Source organism: Homo sapiens, chromosome 21 (genome assembly GCF_000001405.40).
Source record: "Homo sapiens chromosome 21, GRCh38.p14 Primary Assembly".
NCBI classification, from domain to species: Eukaryota; Metazoa; Chordata; class Mammalia; order Primates; family Hominidae; genus Homo; species Homo sapiens.
Window position 1 is genome coordinate 8,756,716 of NC_000021.9, and position 20,522 is coordinate 8,777,237.

At 42.8% G+C, this 20,522-nt stretch overlaps 2 long non-coding RNA genes across 2 annotated transcripts in view, besides 2 other annotated features; one reads left to right on the top strand and one right to left on the bottom strand.

Annotated features, from left to right (window-relative positions):
* The first annotated feature begins 2,363 nt into the window (after window positions 1-2,363).
* LINC01666 (long intergenic non-protein coding RNA 1666) overlaps window positions 2,364-20,522 on the top strand; it is a 46,880-nt gene continuing 28,721 nt past the window's right edge. The window contains exons 1-2 of the long non-coding RNA NR_187559.1: window positions 2,364-2,546; window positions 4,561-4,619. This is a non-coding gene — a long non-coding RNA (long intergenic non-protein coding RNA 1666). The remainder of the gene's footprint in view (window positions 2,547-4,560; window positions 4,620-20,522) is intronic.
* On the bottom strand, window positions 4,206-6,668 carry LOC124904994 (uncharacterized). Its single transcript, XR_007067806.1, has 2 exons — window positions 6,533-6,668; window positions 4,206-4,679 (listed from the first exon to the last, which is right to left on the bottom strand). It is a non-coding gene; the product is annotated as an uncharacterized LOC124904994 (long non-coding RNA).
* Window positions 7,607-8,168: an enhancer, noted in NCBI's record as "OCT4-NANOG hESC enhancer chr21:9653155-9653716 (GRCh37/hg19 assembly coordinates)". NCBI's record gives its function as "activates a minimal SCP1, AML or CMV promoter by ChIP-STARR-seq in naive H9 embryonic stem cells {active_cell/tissue: H9 hESC(naive)}" and the evidence as "EXISTENCE:reporter gene assay evidence [ECO:0000049][PMID:30033119]".
* Window positions 18,097-18,297: a silencer, noted in NCBI's record as "peak4328 fragment used in MPRA reporter construct". NCBI's record gives its function as "represses an SCP1 promoter by STARR-seq MPRAs in K562 erythroleukemia cells {active_cell/tissue: K562}" and the evidence as "EXISTENCE:reporter gene assay evidence [ECO:0000049][PMID:32103011]".

Sequence of the window (20,522 nt, forward strand, 5' to 3'; positions counted from 1 at the left end):
GATCTTGCATTTAGAAAATCATAAGAAATTTACTAAAAAGTATTAGGACTCATGAACAAATTTAAGAATGTAACACTATATAAGATTGGTATACAAAAATAACTGTACTTCTTCACCAAGAAATCAAGAATCCAAAAATGGAATTATAAAAATAAATCTTGTTACAATAGAATTAAAGCTGGGGAAGCTTAAACTTGAACACTAAAAACTACAATACATGGTTAGCGTTGGAAACACCCAGATACCATCCCTGAGCCTTCTCTCCTTGGCTCTGAGGGCTTTACCTTCACGGGGTGAAGAAAGGGGTTGCATTCTTGGCTTTTACATTATATTAGGTGGGTTCGGGTTGAGGTATCTGCAATTCAAATGAGTATTATATACTCTACTTTTATGGATAAGAGACTGAGGCCCACCAAGAGAGGGAATGACAGTCCATATCCTGGAAGGTGAATTATCAGGCACTGATTTCCGCTATTTAACCCCTGCCAATCATCAAGTATTTAAAGGATCCCCGGATACCATACCAATAGGTGTTCAAGAGAGAAGCCTGTAATCTAGGCGTCTGAGAAAACAAGGCTAGAGATTCCAATATTAGAGACAACAGGGCTCTGGGAAGATTAAGGTTGAGTTTTCTGGATCTGCAGAATAGAGTCACTGAGGACCAATTGCAAGATCAGAGGAGATGAAAGAACAAGTCAAGGCATGCTTAGGAAAAGAGAATATCAGGGATAGGTTTTAGGCAAGAGTCACACTGAGGAAGGGCAGGTTCTTGGCGTCGCTCAGGAAGAAATCCAAAAGCAAGCCTGTGGTGGAAGAAAGCAGCTCTACGGAGGCATTGGCGGTGTTACAGCCCTGCATCCACTCCGGCAGGGCAGGGTGCCCTCCGTGGGTTGTGCTCCCAGAGCAGCAGCCTAGGGGTGGCTTGTAGTCATTTTTATAATTCACTTTTAATGGCATGCTAATTAAGGGGCAGGTTATTCAGAAATAGCTAGAAATGGGCAGTAACTTCCATCTGTTTCCATGGCAAGGGGTGGGGACTTCTCATGATGCCATGGCATTGGCAAACTGTCATGGCACTGGTGGGAGCGTCTTCTGGTGATCTGAGGCGTGAGGTGCTTTCGCTGCCTCTCCCAGGTTCCTCTGTGCCTCTTACCTGAAAGCCCATCAACACCCTCATCTGCCCACCTACAAACGTCACTGCCCTTTCACCCCACCCCCGTTTCACATGCACTCCCACATCAACCCTGAGCATTCAAGCCTGCGTTTCCCTGTTAGGAACCTCGGTGGTAGCCGGAGCTCTGAGAAATCCCTAGACAGAACTCCTTGCCTAGGTTGTGGCAGAAATCAGGGAAGGAAAGGCAAATTTCAGGTCTTTCTCACAATAAATAAATAAAGATAGGTAGATTTGATTGATGGATGGATGGATGGATGAAACGTGGGAGTCTATGGGCAAATATTTATCAGACACTGGAAGTGAAAGTTGTCACAAAGATTATGGAGTGCACCTGTCTTATGACCCTGTTATTTTATCCTAGTATATGCACTAGAGCATATTTTCTAACTGTGTAATTGAAGGCTCACAAATTAGTTTAGTGAGAGAAAAGATAACGGATTGGAAGAGAATTACCATATTCATTAGTTGTGTTTTTAAAATTTTAAAGTAAAATAGAGGCATGATTGTTTTCATGCTTTCGAATGCATCTATAAAAAATAGACTTGAGGGCTGGGCGCAGTGGCTCACGCTTGTAATCCCAGCACCTTGGGAGGCCGAGGAGGGCGGATCACGAGGTCAGGAGTTGGAGACCAGCCTGACCAACATGGTGAAAACCTGTCTCTACTAAAAATACAAAAATTAGGCGAGTGTGGTGGCGCACGCCTGTAATCCCAGGTACTTAGGAGGCTGAGGCAGGAGAATCGCTTGAACCCGGGAAGCGGAGGTTGCAGTGAGCCAAGATTGCACCATTGCACTCCAGCCTGGGCGACAGAGTGAGACTCCATCTCAAAAAAAAAAAAAAACTTACTCATTCATAGCATAGACCAATTGGCCTCTATTGAAATTTCTCCATTATTTTCACAATGTCCCAGGCTGTGAAACCAGGATTTAATAAAGAACCAGAATGCCACATCTGTGTCACCTGGGTAGGGACCAGTCCTGATACATTAAGTCCGGGTCTCTGTGTAACTGGACTCAAGTGCTGGGCAAAACAGAATGTCCGGCGTGGGTTCCTAACGGGGGACCGCAAAGCCTCATGGGAATTGTGGTGTCACCTTCCAATGATGTTACCATCAAGGACCTTGGGAACCAGCTTTTCTCTCTGCGCATGCGCCGCCCGGCCCACTCCGCCATTTTCCTCCGGAAGTGTGGCACCCAGAGTCGGTCCTGTAGCTGGGCCGGCTTGGGGCTTGGTTCTATGTCCCTGTGGGTCGGTGCAAGGGCCAAGAGGAACCCGTAGGCCTCAGGGAATCCCAGGGGGCCGGACCAGTGTTCCCTAGTTGTGGAAGCAGACGCATGGGCGAATCGCGGGAGGGCAGGGCCTGAAGAGCAGGTGCGGGCCACGGACCCAGGCGGAGGCTGGGAGGACAGGCGTGGGGTCCCAGCAGTGAAGCGGGTTCTAGAGGCACAGGAGCGGGTAGGAGAGGCCAGTGGCCCTAGGCCCAGAGTCTGCAGGCCGCGCTCCTGTCCTGCCGCTGAGGGACACGGTTACCAACCAGCATGATGCTCAGTTTGCCCATCTGTCCCAGTGCTAACACACAGTTCTCAGGAGACTTTCCCCATTCCCAGAGGAGTAGTGTGAAACGCGTGCGCCGCTAGTCTTAAACTTGGTGTTTGTATTAGTTGGGTTTCCTGGTGTCTCTTTAGCAAGTGAAGTTTCTGGTTCCCTCCTTCACTGTGTGACCTGCCTAGTCCTCCTGGGTCGCATTTACAGAAGTTTATACGAGACCTAGTTTCCAGGGAAGAACTCACTGATTCCACAAGGGAGATGGCATAATAGATGATGGTCGTCAGCCTTAAGGGTACTTCAGTCTTAACTGTGTGTTACAAAGTTTGAAAGGGAGGGTTCCCTATGAATAAGAAGCACACTTGAAAGAACAGCCATCTGGTCTAACCTCTCACTGGTGCTTCAGAGGAGGAAAAAAGGTCACAGGTGAAGATCCCAGTTTTCCTTGCTCAGGAAATATTAATTCTACTCCCTAGAATGCACAAGATTTGCAAAGACTAGGTGATAGTAGAAGGTTTGGACGAACTTTCAGAAGGTTGAGGTGAATTCAGCTGAGAAGAACAGGCAAGGACTTAGGAAATATTCCTTATTTGAAGGGGCCTGAAAGTGTGGTCTGGGGTACAGCAGTGACCTGTCATACTTGAGAGGATTAAAATACTCTCCAAACACAGTCCCATTCCTTCAATCTTAGCTCGTTTTTTCGCGTCTGAGATATATTAAACCTAGTCCATCCCCAAATTTAGCATTAGATTGCGAAGTTCTATTGATTGTATTTGATTTGTAATTTAAGATTTTCTCCCCCTACATAATTTTGTTAAAAACACAGAAGTGAATTCTGTTCACTTAGGTGTAACAGTTAATACTTGCTGTTTAAGGAACTAATTAAACCTTACTGGCTTATAAAAAACAATCACCATTTTATTTGTATGAAGTTCTGTGGATCTGCACTTTGGTGTGGTGGATTCAGCTGGGTAGTTGATATATTTGTGTTGCCTGGATTACAAAAAGGCCTTAGTCACCTGGTGCGTTGACTGAGCCTGGTTGGTTTAAGATAGTTTCCTTCACAATCTGGTGGTTTGTGGTGACTCTTGGCTAGGCCCTGTGTCTCCAACAGGGTAGCTCCAGACCTCTTCAAAATTTCTCCCAAAAAGGGAAGAACCAATGGATATTTGCATCACATTTTCCATTGTCCATTCACTGGACAAGTCAGATGGAAAAGCCCAATTTATTGTCAGAGCATAATATGAGGGCTTGGATAGAAGGAAAGGTGTTATTGGGAAACATGAGTAGAATGGTGTACTGCAGGAAATACATATTATGTACATTTTAAAAAACGTAATTGTAGGCCAAAATTGCTGGTTTGCAAGATGCACTTTCCACGATGTTCAGGTATAGAAAAGCAAGAGGTACTGTCATGGGAACACTCATATGAAGTTATTTGTGGAATCTACATATTAATAGGAAAATAGTTAATACAGCCCAGTATATTTCTATAACATTTATTTTAGTGAACTTATAATGTTTCTTTGTATTAAATTATTAGATTATATCTTTAGATAATATTGTTACTAAATTAGTAGGTAATACATATTTTTATTCAAAAATAAATTGTGCATCTAATGTCTACCAATTAATGTACTTGTCTATGTATCTTATCTTAACTTGAGCCTCTGCTGCCCCTAATGAGGCGTGAAGGACTCTTCTCCCACGGGGAAGTTTTTCTTTTTCAGGAGGGAGGAGGGCTTTCCCAGGTAATGTGTCTAGAGCATTGGGCAGAAGAATCTGGGACCACACCACACCAGTTCTCTCCTTAATCCACGTCATTTGCCTTCTATCCCAGCTATGTTTCCAGTGTCCTCTGGGTGTTTCCAAGAGCAACAAGAAACGAATAAATATCTGGTGAGTTGTTTACTTGTTCTTCACTTTGTTTTACACTGTATTTTCTGAGTTTATGGGTGTCTGTGAATTAAAAAGGAAAAGTAGAAATAAGTAAAACTCAGGTTGAAGGAAATATACATAAATAAGATAAAGCTGACCTGTAGATATAGGCAGGTTATAAGAGCTTAGAGTTGTCTAAGTTGGGTGGAAATTTTCCTCTGATCTTTCTGATGCCGAGACAAAAAAGGCAGTCATATTTGTTACGTGATTGGAATGGAACCCGAGAAGAGAGCATGCAGTGTTCTTGTGGGACAGGAAAGCTTGTGTGTACCAAGTCCGAACCACCACCTTCATTGGTGACATAGATTATGTGCTGGAACATATTTCACACCGGCCTGGCATTAACCACTTGTAGTGTTGTGCAGTGGAAACGGTCATCTTCCGCTAAAGCACAGCTTCCATCGTAAGTTGTGCTCATTGCTCAAAGAGTGTGGTCCCAAACAGCTTTTGGGAGGTCCTCCTTGATTCATGGATGAAACCCAGAACATCTTGAGTACTGAGTTAACCATAGGTCCTTAAATAACTCTCCAGACATTTTTCTTAGTTTATCTCTACATGCAGGGTGTGCAGCAGCCTGTTCAAAGTCATATTTTCTGGGAAATATTTCCAGTGTTTATTTGCACTTTAGCCCACTCTTTGTAGTCTTAACTTATTTCTTCTAAACTCACCATTAACGTAAATAATAGTCAAATTTAGGGGGACTGTATTTGCCTTACTCAAGTCTTCTACCATAGTTGAAACTGTCGTACCCGAGTGATTTAGAGATAAACGCCACACTTTGAGACGAATTCAGGGGTCCTTTATTAGCTGGTGACTGAGAGACAGCTAACGCACGAAATTCTCTCGGCCCCGAAGAAGGGACAAGATTTTCTTTTATACTTTGGTTTAAAGAGGGGAGGGGGGATTCTAGCTGCAGCAACTTTACAGAAGATAATAACAGACAAAAAATTTAAAAAGACAGATGGTTACAGGAAAACAAACTGTTCCCGGTGCAGGGGCTTTAAATTCACCACAAAGTGATAGGTGAGGGGGCTCTGGGCAATATCTGCCAGACAAATGTGGGGCTTTATGATACTATCTCTGAATAAATTGCTGGGAACTGCAGACATCGCTTGTCTCAGCACTTTATCAGTTAATTCCACTCTTTGATATGTTGAAAGTCAGCTTGCACAAGTTAAAGTCCTTGAGGAAAGGGGGTGGGTAGGGAGCCCTTGATGTCTTGTAAATGAAGGAGCCAAATGGAGTTTGTCTGGTTTTCTCAGCTAAGGGAGAGTCTATTCATATTAAAAACAAGGTTAGCTATCTAAGGAAGAGTCTATTCATGTTACAACGTTGGGTATTACAAAACATCTGTTCATGATCTGGAAATTCTTCTGTGTTAGTTCTGTTAAAAGAAAAACTTTAAAGGAGTTTAATAGAGTAATAAACGATTCACGAATCATGCAGTCCCCAGAATCACAGCAGATTCACAGAGACTCCAGCGCAGTCATGTGATGGAAGAAGATTTATAGACAAAAGGAAAATAGCATACCGAAATCGGAAGTGAGGTACCGAAACAACTCAGTGTTTGCCTTGTTTGAACACATTTTGAACATTTGGCAGTGCCTGAGTGGTTGAAGTTTGGTCATTGGGATTGGCCAAGATGTAGCTGTTGTTCCAGGTGCATACTCTTAAGTTAGTTTTTCATTCTTGTATACCTATTAAGGTAGGTTACAGTTCATCCACAAGGACTCATATATAGAATTATGGAGTCCTTCTCAGGCCATACTTAGTTCACTTTAACAATGCCTTCCCTTTGGTTATTTTCTCAATTATGAGAGATTGGCCAAAACTTCAGTCACTGGTGTGACTATTACCATTGCAAATGTACTTACTTGGTTTAGAAACCCACTGGGAAATAGACCAGTGAGATTTGAAAAGGTGGAACAAGGACTTGAGTAGAAGGTATCTTCTTATGCTGGAACATCCTGTTTACAGGAGAAAAACAAAACCTAGTTTGTTCTAGGATTTATGTGTTTCCTTAAAGTCTTAGTTTGATTATGTTACATTTAGCATGAGTGACTCCATTTTGGTTTGGTTTGGTCTGTTGGGACCTATTGCATGAGTTTAGTTCAAAACAATGGCCTCCCATAATTTTGCTTAAAAAAATTCCTCCTTTTGGCTGGGCGCGGTGGCTCACACATGTAATCCCAGCACTTTGGGAGGCTGAGGTGGGCAGATCACGAGGTCAGGAGATTGAGACCATCCTTGCTAATATGGTGAAACCCCATCTCTACTAAAAATACAAAAAATTAGCGAAGTGTGTTGGTGGGTGCCTGTAGTCCCAGCTACTCAGGAGGCTGAGGTAGGAGAATGGCCTGAACCTGGGAGGCAGAGCTTGCAGTGAGCCAAGATTGTGCCACTGCACTCCACTCTGGGGGACAGACCAAGACTCTGTATTAGAAAAAAAAAGTCCTCCTTTTCAGTCAAGTTCTCACTTAGTTGAGAGTGTGACCAAAATGTAGGGCCTTAGCATCACTCTTAGTTACCACTGTTTTGGGTTTCTGGTTTAGCAGGATGATCCCATTGTTTTGGGTTCTGGTTTTAGCACGTCACTCCCATTGTTTTGGGTTTCTGGTTTAGCAGGATGATCCCATTGTTTTGGGTTTCTGGTTTTAGCACGTCACTCCCATTGTTTTGGGTTTCTGGTTTAGCAGGTCACTCCCACTGTTTTGGGTTCCGGTTTTAGCACGTCACTCCCATTGTTTTGGGTTCCAGTTTTAGCACGTCACTCCCATTGTTTTGGGTTTCTGGTTTAGCAGATCACTCCAATTGTTTTCGGTTTCTGGTTTAGCAGGATGCTCCCATTGTTTGGGGTTTCTGGTTTAGCAGGTCACTCCCATTGTTTTGGGTTCCGGTTTTAGCACATCACTCCCATTGTTTTCATTTCCGGTTTTAGCACATCACTCCCATTGTTTTGGGTTCCAGTTTTAGCAAGTCACTCCCATTGTTTTGGATTCTGATTTTAGTGTTCGTCACCCCCATTGTTCTGGGTTCCAGTTTTAGTATATCACTCTCATTGTTTTGGGTTTCTGGTTTAGCACGTCACTCCCATTGTTTTGGGTTTCTGGTTTCGCAGGTCACTCCCATTGTTTTGGGTTCTGGTTTAAGCACATCACTCCCCTTGTTTTCGTTTCCGCTTTTGGCACGTCACTCCCATTGTTTTGGGTTCCAGTTTTAGCAAGTCACTCCCATTGTTTTGGGTTTCTGGTTTAGCACGTCACTCCCATTGTTTTGGGTTCTGGTTTTAGTGCACATCACTCCCATTGTTTTGGGTTCCAGTTTTAGTACATCGCTCCCATTGTTTTGGGTTTCTGGTTTAGCATGTCACCCCCATTGTTTTGGGTTTCCGGTTTAGCATGTCACTCATAGGTTACGGTGTCCTTATGGTTGCACTTTTTTTTAATCTCTTGTCATTCCAGTTGAAGAGATACCATTTGATATTTTAGAGATGCCTGCATGCAAACTCTTAAAACATTTGAGTAAGTACAGTGCACCAGGGAGACTCTTATGACTCTTGGGATAACACCAAGAATTTGGTATATGCTCCTAACTCAGGGTCCCCATAAATCAAACCACCTAAAATCAAATAGATTAAAGAATGAATTAGATAAAGAGTTTACTTGCTTAACTAAGTGGGTTTTTTTGTTAATTCCCTACAACCAAATCTTTATAATACACCATGTTTTCTCCACATGCTGTAAGTGTTAGCAGCTGCACAGATACTTAAGATAAGTGTCTCATGATAGTAGAGAAGTCTTGATCTGTGATCTTGGGAAAAGCTGTTCACATTAAGGATGCCATCTTCTTCTGGGGGGAACTGTCCTTGTTAGCTTTACCTTAAGGGTTCCAATGGGCATATGGTTCCGAGTGTGGAGGGACCCTTCTGAGTTGTGAGACTATGAACCCAAAGTTTAAGGTTTTAAATTTTTGCTGTCATGTGGATGGCAAGGGCAGTCCTTCTCTGATGTTCTCAGAAGATCCAGTCATCAGATTCTAGATTTTGAAGGGTTTGACTGTCCTCAGTGAACCATAAAAGGCTTTCTTTACCTGGTGAAAATACACTTCAGGGTAATTATCTACTGTTTTAACATCAATTCTCTCGCATGGAAGTTTTTATACAATCAGAAAACATGCACTGAAAATGAAAACTGAATGAAATCCCTTTATAAAATGTTTAAATGGCCCATCAGGTAACCAAATGTACCTGAAGTTTTGATTGTTTTCCTAGAAATATAGTATTGACAAACCAAACATTGGTTATAAACTATTTTAGCAGTTTAGAAATCACCACACCAATATATTTAATTTGGATCATTTTCTCTTTCCATGATGAGTTATGGAATGCAGAACTTTTAATAACAAAAGTTTTAAGGACTTAAGAAGGATAAGGTGGCCATCCTGGTTCTTCATAAGTCTGTGCTTAATTAACATTAGACTTACATCCTCTTGAATACCAGCTGTTTCTCCAAATTAGGTGCATGGCACTGGTAACTGATGAGTAGTTATAGGTGATTTGACTTAGACCATGGAGATTATTTAAATTATATATCTAATCAATTTCAATATTGGTGATTTAGCATGCAAATGTGGCAAAATATTTCCTTGGTATACAATTTTTGTTTTACTTAGGTTAGCAGTTTTATAAACCAGTTGGTCTTTTTATTAAATTTTTGGGATTTTTTTTTGAGACAGAGTCTCACTCTGTTACCTAGGTTGTAGTGCAGTGGCACAATCTTGGCTCACTGCAACCTCCACCTCCTGGGTTCAAGCAATTCTCTTGCCTCAGCCTCCAGAGTAGCTGGGATTACAGGCACATACCACCACACTCAGCTAATTTTTACATTTTTAGTAGAGGTGGGGTTTCACCGTTGGCCAGGCTGGTCTCAAACTCCTGACCTCAAGTGATCCACTGGCCTTGGCCTCCCAAAGTGCTGGGATTGCCGACGTGAGCCGCTGCACCCAGCCTAACTTTTGAGAATTCTTAACCTGTCCAATTCTTGGGGTATCAGGGAACTTATGGGGAATTTTTACCCATGATATTAAAGTTATTAAAAATCTGTGTTCACGAGTGTTTTTCAGGATCCTTTTCATTCTTTCATGAATCTTCTAAGAGACACCATATTCTAGAATTTTGCATGCTTGTGAAGTTTTTAGAAACTGCATCACCATTAAGCAATTAACTGTGGAAATGACTTTAAATAGTTATAGATAAAGACAAATGACAAGGAAATTTGGTTATTTCTGTGGTCTACAATAACTTAATAACCATAATTAGGGTGGATGTGGTGGCTCATGCCTGTAATCCCAGCTCTTTGGGAGGCCGAGGTGGAAGGATCATGAGGTCAGGAGATCGAGACCATCCTGGCTAACACAGTGAAATCCGTCTTTGCTAAAAATACAAAAATTAGCCTGGCATGGTGGTGGGTGCCTGTAGTCCCAGCTACTCAGGAGGCTGAGGCAGGAGAATGGCATGAACCCGGGAGGTGGAGGTTGCAGTGAACTGAGATTGCACCACTGTACTCCAGCCTGGGTGACAGAGAAAGACTCCTTCTCAGAAAAAAAAAAATACAAGAATTTTAGAAATCCTATACAATTTTAGAATGGATTGATGACACACTGAATATAACCTAAAGAAGGTTCAACATTATTTTTTATTTTGACAGTGCTAGCCATGTGAATTAACATGTTAAATAGTCCTGTTTACCTCTCTTTTGGGTGCTTCAGGGGCCTCTGTAGTATCCCAAAGTTAGAGGTCAGAACATAAAATTTTGAAGATGCAATTTGATTTTGGGAAGCCTATTAAATATATTAAAGGTTTAAACACTTGATGTTATGAAATAGAATTCCACGTCAACGTAAGTCATTCATTTACCTAAAATCATGACTTAAAAAATTTTTAAAGGGCAAAAATCTTTACTCATTGATAGGGGGAAGACTTATCTCCACAAATAATCTGCCTCTTGTTTTTCCTTTTTTTTTTGGTAATTTATTTACAAGGCAAACAAATTTTTCATTATTTTATTTTATCATTACTATTATTATTATTATACTTTAAGTTTTACGGTTTATGTGCACAATGTGCCAGTTAGTTACATATGTATACATGTGCCAGTCTGGTGTGCTACACCCATTAACTCGTCATTTAGCATTAGGTATATCTCCTAATGCTATCCCTCCTCCCCCTGCCCACCCCACAACAGTCCCCAGAGTGTGATGTTCCCCTTCCTGTGTCCATGTGTTCTCATTGTTCAATTCCCATCTATGAATGAGAACATACAGTGTTTGGTTTTTTGTCCTTGCGATAGTTTACTGAGAATGATGATTTCCAATTTCATCCATATCCCTACAAAGGACATGAACTCATCATTTTTTATGGCTGCATAGTATTCCATGGTGTATATGTGCCATAATTTCTCAATCCAGTCTATCGTTGTTGGACATTTGTGTTGGTTCCAAGTCTTTGCTATTGTGAATAGTGCGGCAATAAACATACATGTGCATGTGTGTTTATAGCAGCATGATTTATAGTCCTTTGGTTATATACCCACTAATGGGATGGCTGGATCAAATGGTATTTCTAGTTCCAGATACTTGAGGAATCGCCACACTGACTTCCACAATCGTTGAACTAGTTTGCAGTCCCACCAACAGTTTAAAAGTGTTTCTATTTCTCCACATCCTCTGCAGCACCTGTTGTTTCCTGACTTTTTAATGATTGCGATTCTAACTGGTGTGAGATGGTATCTCATTGTGGTTTTGATTTGCATTTCTATGATGGCCAGTGATGATGAGCATTTTTTCATGTGTCTTTTGGCTGCATAAAGGTCTTCTTTTGAGAAGTGTCTGTTCATATCCTTCACCCACTTTTTGATGGGGTTGTATTTCTTTTCTTGTAAATTTGTTTACGTTCGTTGTAGATTCTGGATATTAGCCCTTTGTCAAATGAGTAAGTTGCAAAAATTTTCTCCCATTTTGTAGGTTGCCTGTTCACTCTGATGGCAGTTTCTTTTGCTGTGCAGAAGCTCTTTAGTTTAATTAGATCCCATTTGTCAATTTTGGCTTTTGTTGCCATTGCTTCTGGTGTTTTAGACATGAAGTCTTTGCCCATGCCTATGTCCTGAATGGTAATGCCTAGTTTTACTTCTAGGGTTTTTATGGTTTCAGTTCTAACATTTAAGTCTTTAATCCATCTTGAATTAATTTTTGTATAAGGTGTAAGGAAGGGATCCAGTTTCAGCTTTCTACATATTGCTAGCCAGTTTTCCCAGCACCATTTATTAAATAGGGGATCCACTCCTTGTTTTTGTCAGGTTTGTCAAAGATCAGATAGTTGTAGATATGCGGCATTATTTCTGAGGGCTCTGTGCTGTTCCATTGGTCTATATCTCTGTTTTGGTATCCGTATCATGCTCTTTTGGTTACTGTAGCCTTGTAGTATAGTTTGAAGTCAGGTAGGGTGATGCCTCCAGCTTTGTTCTTTTGGCTTAGGATTGACTTGGTGATGCAGACCCTTTTTTGGTTCCATATGAACTTTAAAGTAGTTTTTTCCAATTCTGTGAAGAAAGTCATTGGTAGCTTGATGGAGATGGCATTGAATCTATAAATTACCTTGGGCAGTATGGCCATTTTCATGATATTGATTCTTCCTATCCATGAGTATGGAATGTTCTTCCATTTGTTTGTATCCTCTTTTATTTCATTGAGCAGTGGTTTGTAGTTCTCCTTGAAGAGGTCCTTCATGTCCCTTGTAAATTGGATTCCTAAGTATTTTATTCTCTTTGAAGCAATTGCGAATGGGAGTTCACTCATGATTTGGCTCTCTGTTTGTCTGTTATTGGTGTATAAGAATGCTTGTGATTTTTGTACATTGATTTTGTATCCTGAGACTTTGCTGAGGTTACTTATCATCAGCTTAAGGAGATTTTGGGCTGAGACAATGGGGTTTTCTAGATATACAATCATGTCATTTGCAAAGAGGGACAATTTGACTTCCTCTTTTCCTAATTGAATACCCTTTATTTCCTTCTCCTGCCTGATTGCCCTGGCCAGAACTTCCAACACTATGTTGAATAGGAGTGATGAGAGAGGGCATCCCTGTCTTGTGCCCGTTTTCAAAGGGAATGCTTCTAGTTTTTGCCCATTCAGTATGATATTGACTGTGGGTTTGTCATAGATAGCTCTTATTATTTTGAGATAAGTCCCATCAATACCTAATTTATTGAGAGTTTTTAGCATGAAGCGCTGTTGAATTTTGTCAAAGGCCTTTTCTGCATCTATTGAGATAATCGTGTGGTTTTTGTCTTTGGTTCTGTTTATATGCTGGATTACTTTTATTGATTTGTGTATATTGAACCAGCCTTGCATCCCAGGGATGAAACCCACTTGATCATGGTGGATAAGCTTTTTTATGTGCTGCTGGATTCGGTTTGCCAGTATTTTATTGAGGATTTTTGCATCAATGTTCATCAAGGATATTGGTCTAAAATTCTCTGTTTTGGTTGTGTCTCTTCCCGGCTTTGGTATCAGGATGATGCTGGCCTCATAAATTGAGTTAGGGAGGATTCTTTCTTTTTCTATTGATTGGAATAGTTTCAGAAGGAATGGTACCAGCTCCTCCTTGTACCTCTGGTAGAATTTGGCTGTGAATCCATCTGGTCCTGGACTCTTTTTGGTTGGTAAGCTATTGATTATTGCCACAATTTCAGATCCTGTTATTGGTCTATTCAGAGATTCAACTTCTTCCTGGTTTAGTCTTGGGAGAGTGTATGCGTGGAGGAATTTATCCATTTCTTCTAGATTTTCTAGTTTATTTGTGTAGAGGTGTTTGTAGTATTCTCTGATGGTAGTTTGTATTTATGAGGGATCAGTGGTGATATCCCCTTTATTATTTTTATTGTGTCTATTTGATTCTTCTCTCTTTTTTCTTTATTAGTCCTGCTAGCAGTGTATCAATTTTGTTCATCCTTTCAAAAAACCAGCTCCTGGATTCATTAATATTTTGAAGCGTTTTTTTGTTGCTATTTCCTTCAGTTCTGCTCTGATTTTAGTTATTTCTTGCCTTCTGCTAGCTTTTGAATGTGTTTGCTCCTGCTTTTCTAGTTCTTTCAATTGTGATGTTAGAGTGTCAATTTTGGATCTTTCCTGCTTTCCCTTGTGGGCATTTAGTGTTATAAATTTCCCTGTACACACTGCTTTGAATGTGTCCCAGAGATTCTGGTATGTTGTGTCTTTGTTCTCGTTGGTTTTAAAGAACATCTTTATTTCTGCCTTCATTTTGTTACGTACCCAGTAGTCATTCAGGAGCAGGTTGTTCAGTTTCCATGTAGTTGAGCAGTTTTGAGTGAGTTTCTTAATGCCGAGTTCTAGTTTGATTGCACTGTGGTCTGAGAGACAGTTTAATTTCTGTTCTTTTACATTTGCTGAAGAGGGCTTTACTTCCAAGTATGTGGTCAATTTTGGAATAGGTGTGGTGTGGTGCTGAAAAAATGTATATTCTATTGATTTGGGTTGGAGAGTTCTGTAGATGTCTATTAGGTCCTCTTGGTGCAGAGCTGAGTTCAATTCCTTGGTATCCTTGTGAAATTTCTGTCTTATTGATCTGTCTAATGTTGACAGTGGGGTGTTAAAGTCTCCCATTATTATTGTGTGGGAGTCTAAGTCTCTTTGTAGGTCACTCAGGACTTGCTTTATGAATCTGGGTGCTCCTGTATTGGGTGCATATATATTTAGGACAGTTAGCTCTTCTTGTTGAATTGATCCCTTTACCATTATGTAATGGTCTTCTTTGTCTCTTTTGATCTTTGTTGGTTTACAGTCTGTTTTATCAGAGTCTAGGATTGCAACCCCTGCCTTTTTTTTGTTTTCCATTTGCTTGGTAGATCTTCCTCCATCCTTTTATTTTGAGCCTATGTGTGTCTCTGCACGTGACATGGGTTTCCTGAATACAGCACACTAATGGGTCTTGACTCTTTATCCAATTTGCCAGTCTGTGTCTTTTAATTGGAGCATTTAGTCCATTTACATTTAAAGTTAATATTGTTATGTGTGAATTTGATCCTGTCATTATGATGTTAGCTGGTTATTTTGCTCGTTAATTGACGCAGTTTCTTCCTAGTCTTGATGTTCTTTACAATTTGGCATGTTTTTGCAGTGGCTGGTACCGATTGTGCCTTTCCATGTTTAGTGCTTCCTTCAGGAGCTCTTTTAGGGCAGGCCTGGTGGTGACAAAATCGCTCAGCATTTGCTTGTCTGTAAAGTATTTTATTTCTCCTTCACTTATGAAGCTTAGTTTGGCTGAATATGAAATTCTGGGTTGAAAATTCTTTTCTGTAAGATTGTTGAATGTTGGCACCCACTCTCTTCTTGCTTGTAGAGTTTCTGCCGAGAGATCAGCAGTTATTCTGATGGGCTTCCCTTTGTGGGTAACCTGACCTTTCTCTCTGGTTGCCCTTAACATTTTTTTCTTCATTTCAACTTTGGTGAATCTCACAATTATATGTCTTGGAGTTGCTGTTCTCGAGGAGTATCTTTGTGGTGTTCTCTGTATTTCCCGAATCTGAATGTTGGCTTGCTTTGCTGGATTGGGGAAGTTCTCCTGGATGATATCCTGCAGAGTGTTTTCCAACTTGGTTCCATTCTCCCCGTCATTTTCAGGTACACCAATCAGACGCAGATTTGGTCTTTTCACATAGTCCCATATTTCTTGGAGGCTTTGTTCATTTCTTTTTATTCTTTTTTTTCTAAACTTCCCTTCTTGCTTCATTTCATTCATTTCATCTTTCATCACTGATACGCTTTCTTCCAGTTGATCTCATCATCTCCTGAGGCTTCTGCATTCTTCACATAGTTCTCGAGCCTTGGCTTTCAGCTCCATCAGCTCCTTTAAGCACTTCTCTATATTGGTTATTCTAGTTACACATTCGTCTAAAGTTTTTTCAAAGTTTTCAACTTCTTTGCCTTTGGTTTGAATTTCCTCCTGTAGCTCGGAGTAGTTTGATCGTTTGAGGCCCTCTTCTCTCAACTCGTCAAAGTCATTCTCTGTCCAGCTTTGTTCCATTGCTGGTGAGGAACTGCATTCCTTTGGCAGAGGAGAGGTGCTCTGCTTTTTAGAGTTTCCAGTTTTTCTGCTCTGTTTTTTCCCCATCTTTGTGGTTTTATCTACTTTTGGTCTTTGATCATGGTGATGTACAGATGGGTTTTTGGTGTGGATGTCCTTTCTGTTTGTTAGTTTTCCTTCTAAAAGACATGACCCTCAGCTTCAGGTCTGTTGGAGTTTGCTAGAGGCCCATTGCAGACCCTGTTTGCCTGGGTATCAGCAGTGGTGTCTGCAAAACCGTGGATTTTCGTGATCCGCGAATGCTGCTGTCTGATCGTTCCTCTGGAATTTTTGTCTCAGAGGAGTACCCGGTTGTGTGAGGTGTCAGTCTGCCCCTACTGGGGGGCGCCTCCCAATTAGGCTGCTTGGGGGTCAGGGTCAGGGACCCACTTGAGGAGGCAGTCTGCCCATTCTCAGATCTCCAGCTGCATGCTGGGAGAACCACTGCTCTCCTCAAAGCTGTCAGACAGGGACATTTAAGTCTGCAGAGGTTACTGCTGTCTTTTTGTTTGTCTGTGCCCTGCCCCCAGAGGTGGAGCCTGCAGAGGCAGGACGGCCTCCTTGAGCTGTGTTGGGCTCCACCCAGTTCGAGCTTCCTGGATGCTTTGTTTACTTAAGAGAGCCTGGGCAATAGCCAGTGCCCCTCCCCCAGCCTTGCTGCTGCCTTGCAGTTTGATCTCAGACTGCTGTGTTAGCAATCAGCGAGACTCCGTGTGCGTAGGACCCTCCGAGGCAGGTGCCGGATATAATCTCCTGGGGTGCCATTTCCTAAGCCCGTCGGAAAAGCACAGTGTTAGGGTAGGAGTGGCCCGATTTTCCAGGTGCCGTCTGTCACCCCTTTCTTTGACCAGGAAAGAGAACTAACTCCCTGACCCCTTGCACTTCCCGAGTGAGGCAATGACTCGCCCTGCTTCAGCTAGTGCACAGTGCACTTCACCCACTGTCCTGCACCCACTGTCTGGCACTCCCTAGTGAGATGAACCCAGTACCTCAAAAGGAAATGCAGAAATCACCCGTCTTCTGCGTCGCTCATGCTGGGAGCGGTAGACTCGAGCTGTTCCTATTCGGCCATCTTGGCTTCTCCTCCCATTATTTTTTAATATTTTCTGAAAATCTTCTTTAAAGAGAGAAAGCCAAATGTCACCCACTTTTTCATAAAACCTTATAGGCAAATCTATTATTCTTTCCTTTTTTTGAGGTGGATTTTCCCTCTTGTTGCCCAGGCTGGTGTGCAATGATGCAATCTCGGTTTACTGCAACCCCCTGCCTCCCAGGTTCAAGCAATTCTCCCGCCCCAGCCTCCTGAGTAGCTGGGATTAGAGACATGTCACACCATGCCCAGCTAATTTTGTGTTTTTAGTAGAGACGGGGTTTTTCCTTGTTGGTCAGGCTGGCCCTGAACTCCTGACCTCAGGTGATCCACCTGTCTCGGCCTCCCCAAGTGTTGGGATTACAGGTGTGAGCCACTGTCCCTGGCCATTTTTTTTAAAGATAACGTCTTGCTCTGTCACCCTCCTCACCATATTATAGCTCTGGGGCCAAACTGCATCACAATGATAATCATGGAGCCACAAGAAGAATCCACTCAGCTTTGTAAGATGCTGCCCAAGGGGTTGCTTGGAGTAACCAAATTAACATTTTTCATTCTGCTCAGAGCAAAATACATGTGACAAAACATAGACACGTGCCACTTTGCTTAGCACCCAGTGTCAAACTGGTAAGACCCAAACTTGCTCTCAGATAGGCCGTGCCACCTCTAAATCTTTTTAGAAGCTTCTGCATATTAATAGGCATCCCTAGACGAGACTAATTTGGGAGCCCTCATTTTTAAATGCACTTCAGGGCATTATTCATTTGGAATGTTCCACTGTAAGTTATCTTTAGTAAGATTTTGCCATTTCTGTAAGACTTTGCTGCTTCCCAGGCCTAATGAATTAGCCAGAAGGAACTAAGTTTTCCAGAAATTAATGATCCTATTGTTACCTAATATATTGTCTTTACTCCCAGGTTCCCTTGATTGACTTAGCCAATGATTTTTTTTCCTACCTAAGCGTGCGAGGAAAATGAAACAAAGGGGTAGAACACAAAAATCCCTGTGAATTTTCAAAAGCCAAATTTTACAACCCTCCAAAATTATCATTTACTACCACTTTCCTTCTGACCCATTCAGATGTAGGAGGTCTCTAACTGGAACTGGATTCAAGACAGTTAACTACTGGATCAAATCTGATCCTGGACACTGTCCCGTTTCTGGATGTTCTAAAACATCCAGTCAGTCATGGCTGGATAGCAGTTTGGAACAGAAAATTGCTCAAAGAAACTCAGAGCTCAAAACACAAATCCATGGAGCTATGAAATCCGAGAGAGAATTTACCATGATCCCCAGCTGCTCTGAGAGGTCAAAGTGCACAAGTGTTACAGAATCCTGAGACGTCACTTTTCTGCCTGAAACCTCTGGCTGGTGGTGCCTTTACCTGTGTTTTGCTCGGGCCCACTGGGTTCGTTCTGTCCACTCGGCTCATGCTAGTGGTGTGGATCCCACACCTGCCAAGGATGAGCTGGGTACAGAGCAGTGAATGGTGTGTGAGCAAGCAAGCATGGGATCTGACCACTGCACACAGCCAAGCATGCCAGCTGCAGTGGGGTGGGCAGCTCCAGGTACCGGCACAGGTGCCAGCTCCCTGTGAGGCTGCAGCTGGACCAGACCGACTGCAAACAGCTTCCACTGTGTGTATCAGGGAATGCAGTGGTGCCTGGAAACTTGGAGATGCAGGAACTGCAGAGCCCCAAAGAAGGCATCACAGCCCTGGCTTGGGGAGCTCCTAGGTCTGGGCTCCCTGAAGGGCCACAGCTCTTGTCTCCTTCTCTCTTCTCTTCTTCTTGCCTGCAATTTGGTAAGCAAGGGGTGCGTTTCAGCCCTGTTTATGTTACACCTCTTTCAGCCCTGCTAGTTGGCAGGTCCCGAGTTCTTGTCCTGAGTCCAGGAAGAATGAGGTATGTGGGCAAGTAGAAGGTGAGCAAGGTGAAGAGGTGCTTTATTGAGCAACAGTAGAGCTCAGAGGAGAACTGCAGTGGGTAACTCCTTTCTGCAGGCAGGTCATCCCAAAATCTGTTCAGCTCTCAGCAGCTGAGAGAGACGCACTGTGGTTAGCTGTTCCCACATTGCTGAGGCTGTTCGAGCTGAGGAGTGCCTTCAGGCCAGTGCTGAGCCACTCTTAGACCCACCTCAACCTCCCTCTTGTGCTCGTCACTGCCCAAAGTCTGGAGGGGGCTGAGGTGGCAGGAGGCTGGCATGTCAGCACTGCCCTGAGCTTGCACAAACCGGGCCGGGTTGCGACTGTGCCTGGGTTCAGCCTCAACTTGGATCCGAAGTTGGAGTGGGCTCTGGGAGTGGAGAGATGCCAGATGGTGGGACCAGGTACGACTGAGCCTGTGGGGGCAGGGGGCTTGCTGGGCCTCTAAGAGTGCAAAGATGCCCGGGTTTGCAGTCATGGCTGGATGGCTGCAGCTGTGCCTGGGAGGGCGGGGCTCCTGCTTGCCAATTTAGAAGGGGTGGGGCTCCCACCCGTTCCTGGCTCCCACCAGCTTCGAGGAGCGCACAGCCCCAGCCACTCCTCCCCACTGCAGCCAGTGTCTCCGTAGCAACTGCTCCACGTGGACCACTGCTGCCATCACAGAGCAGTCCTTGCAGGTGCCTTTCTTGTACCTCAGCACTCCTGGGGGTCATTAGAAGCCCTAGCAACACTGCTCACCACACTATAGCTCCGGAGGCCCTAGCAGTCCTGCTCCCACAGATCCCACTTCTGACACCATCTATTAAAAGAAAATCTTCAGCTGAATTAAATTTAAAGGAACTTAATTGAGCAATGAATGATTCACGAATCAGGCAGCCCCCAGAATCACAGCAGATTTGGTGAGACTCCAGCACAGCTACATGGTGGAAGATTTATAGACAATAAAGGGAACGTGATGTACAGAAATCTGAAGTGAGAAGTGAGGTCCAGAAGCAACTGGGTCCCTTACAGTTCTCAGCAGTGAGGTCCAGAAACAACTGGACTGGTTCCAGTGCTCAGCATTTGCCTTATCTGAACACAGCTGAACACTCAGCAGTGTGTGAGTGGCAGAAGTTTGGCAGTTGGGATTGGCCAGGACTCAGCTATAGTTACAGGCGCATACTCCTAAGTTAGGTTTTCAGTCTTTCTACCTATTAATTTAGGTTGCAGTTTGTCCACAGGGACTCAAATCTAGAAGTACAGAGTCCTTCCCAGGCCATATTTAGTTCACTGTAACAGTTTCTATTATGACCTCACTGACAGTTCTTTTTCTCTGAATTCTCCTTTCTTCTCAACAGCTTATCCAAATGTTCCATTAGTCCCTGTTCATCCCGCCCTGCAGTTCTCCTTGACTGATTCAGCCCTTTGTGGTTTGCAGTCCTGTTTCTCTACAGCTTGGACCCCTTCAGTCTTTCCATCATAGGTTTAACTCTCTGTTGAATGCTTCTTTGTAGCTACACAAAATTTACCTTAAGCTCAAAAAATTCAAACTGAAAGCCACATCCTCTTCTCTTCCCTTATGTGTATGGTATTACTACCATGCAGCCAGTGACCCAAAATGGGATTTCTTCTGGGCTTTTCTTGCTTAGATTCAGGCTCATCTGGTGTCAAGCCTTGTTACTTTTGTTTCCTTGTTCTTTTATTTTTAATTTTTTTTTTCTTTTGAGACAGAGT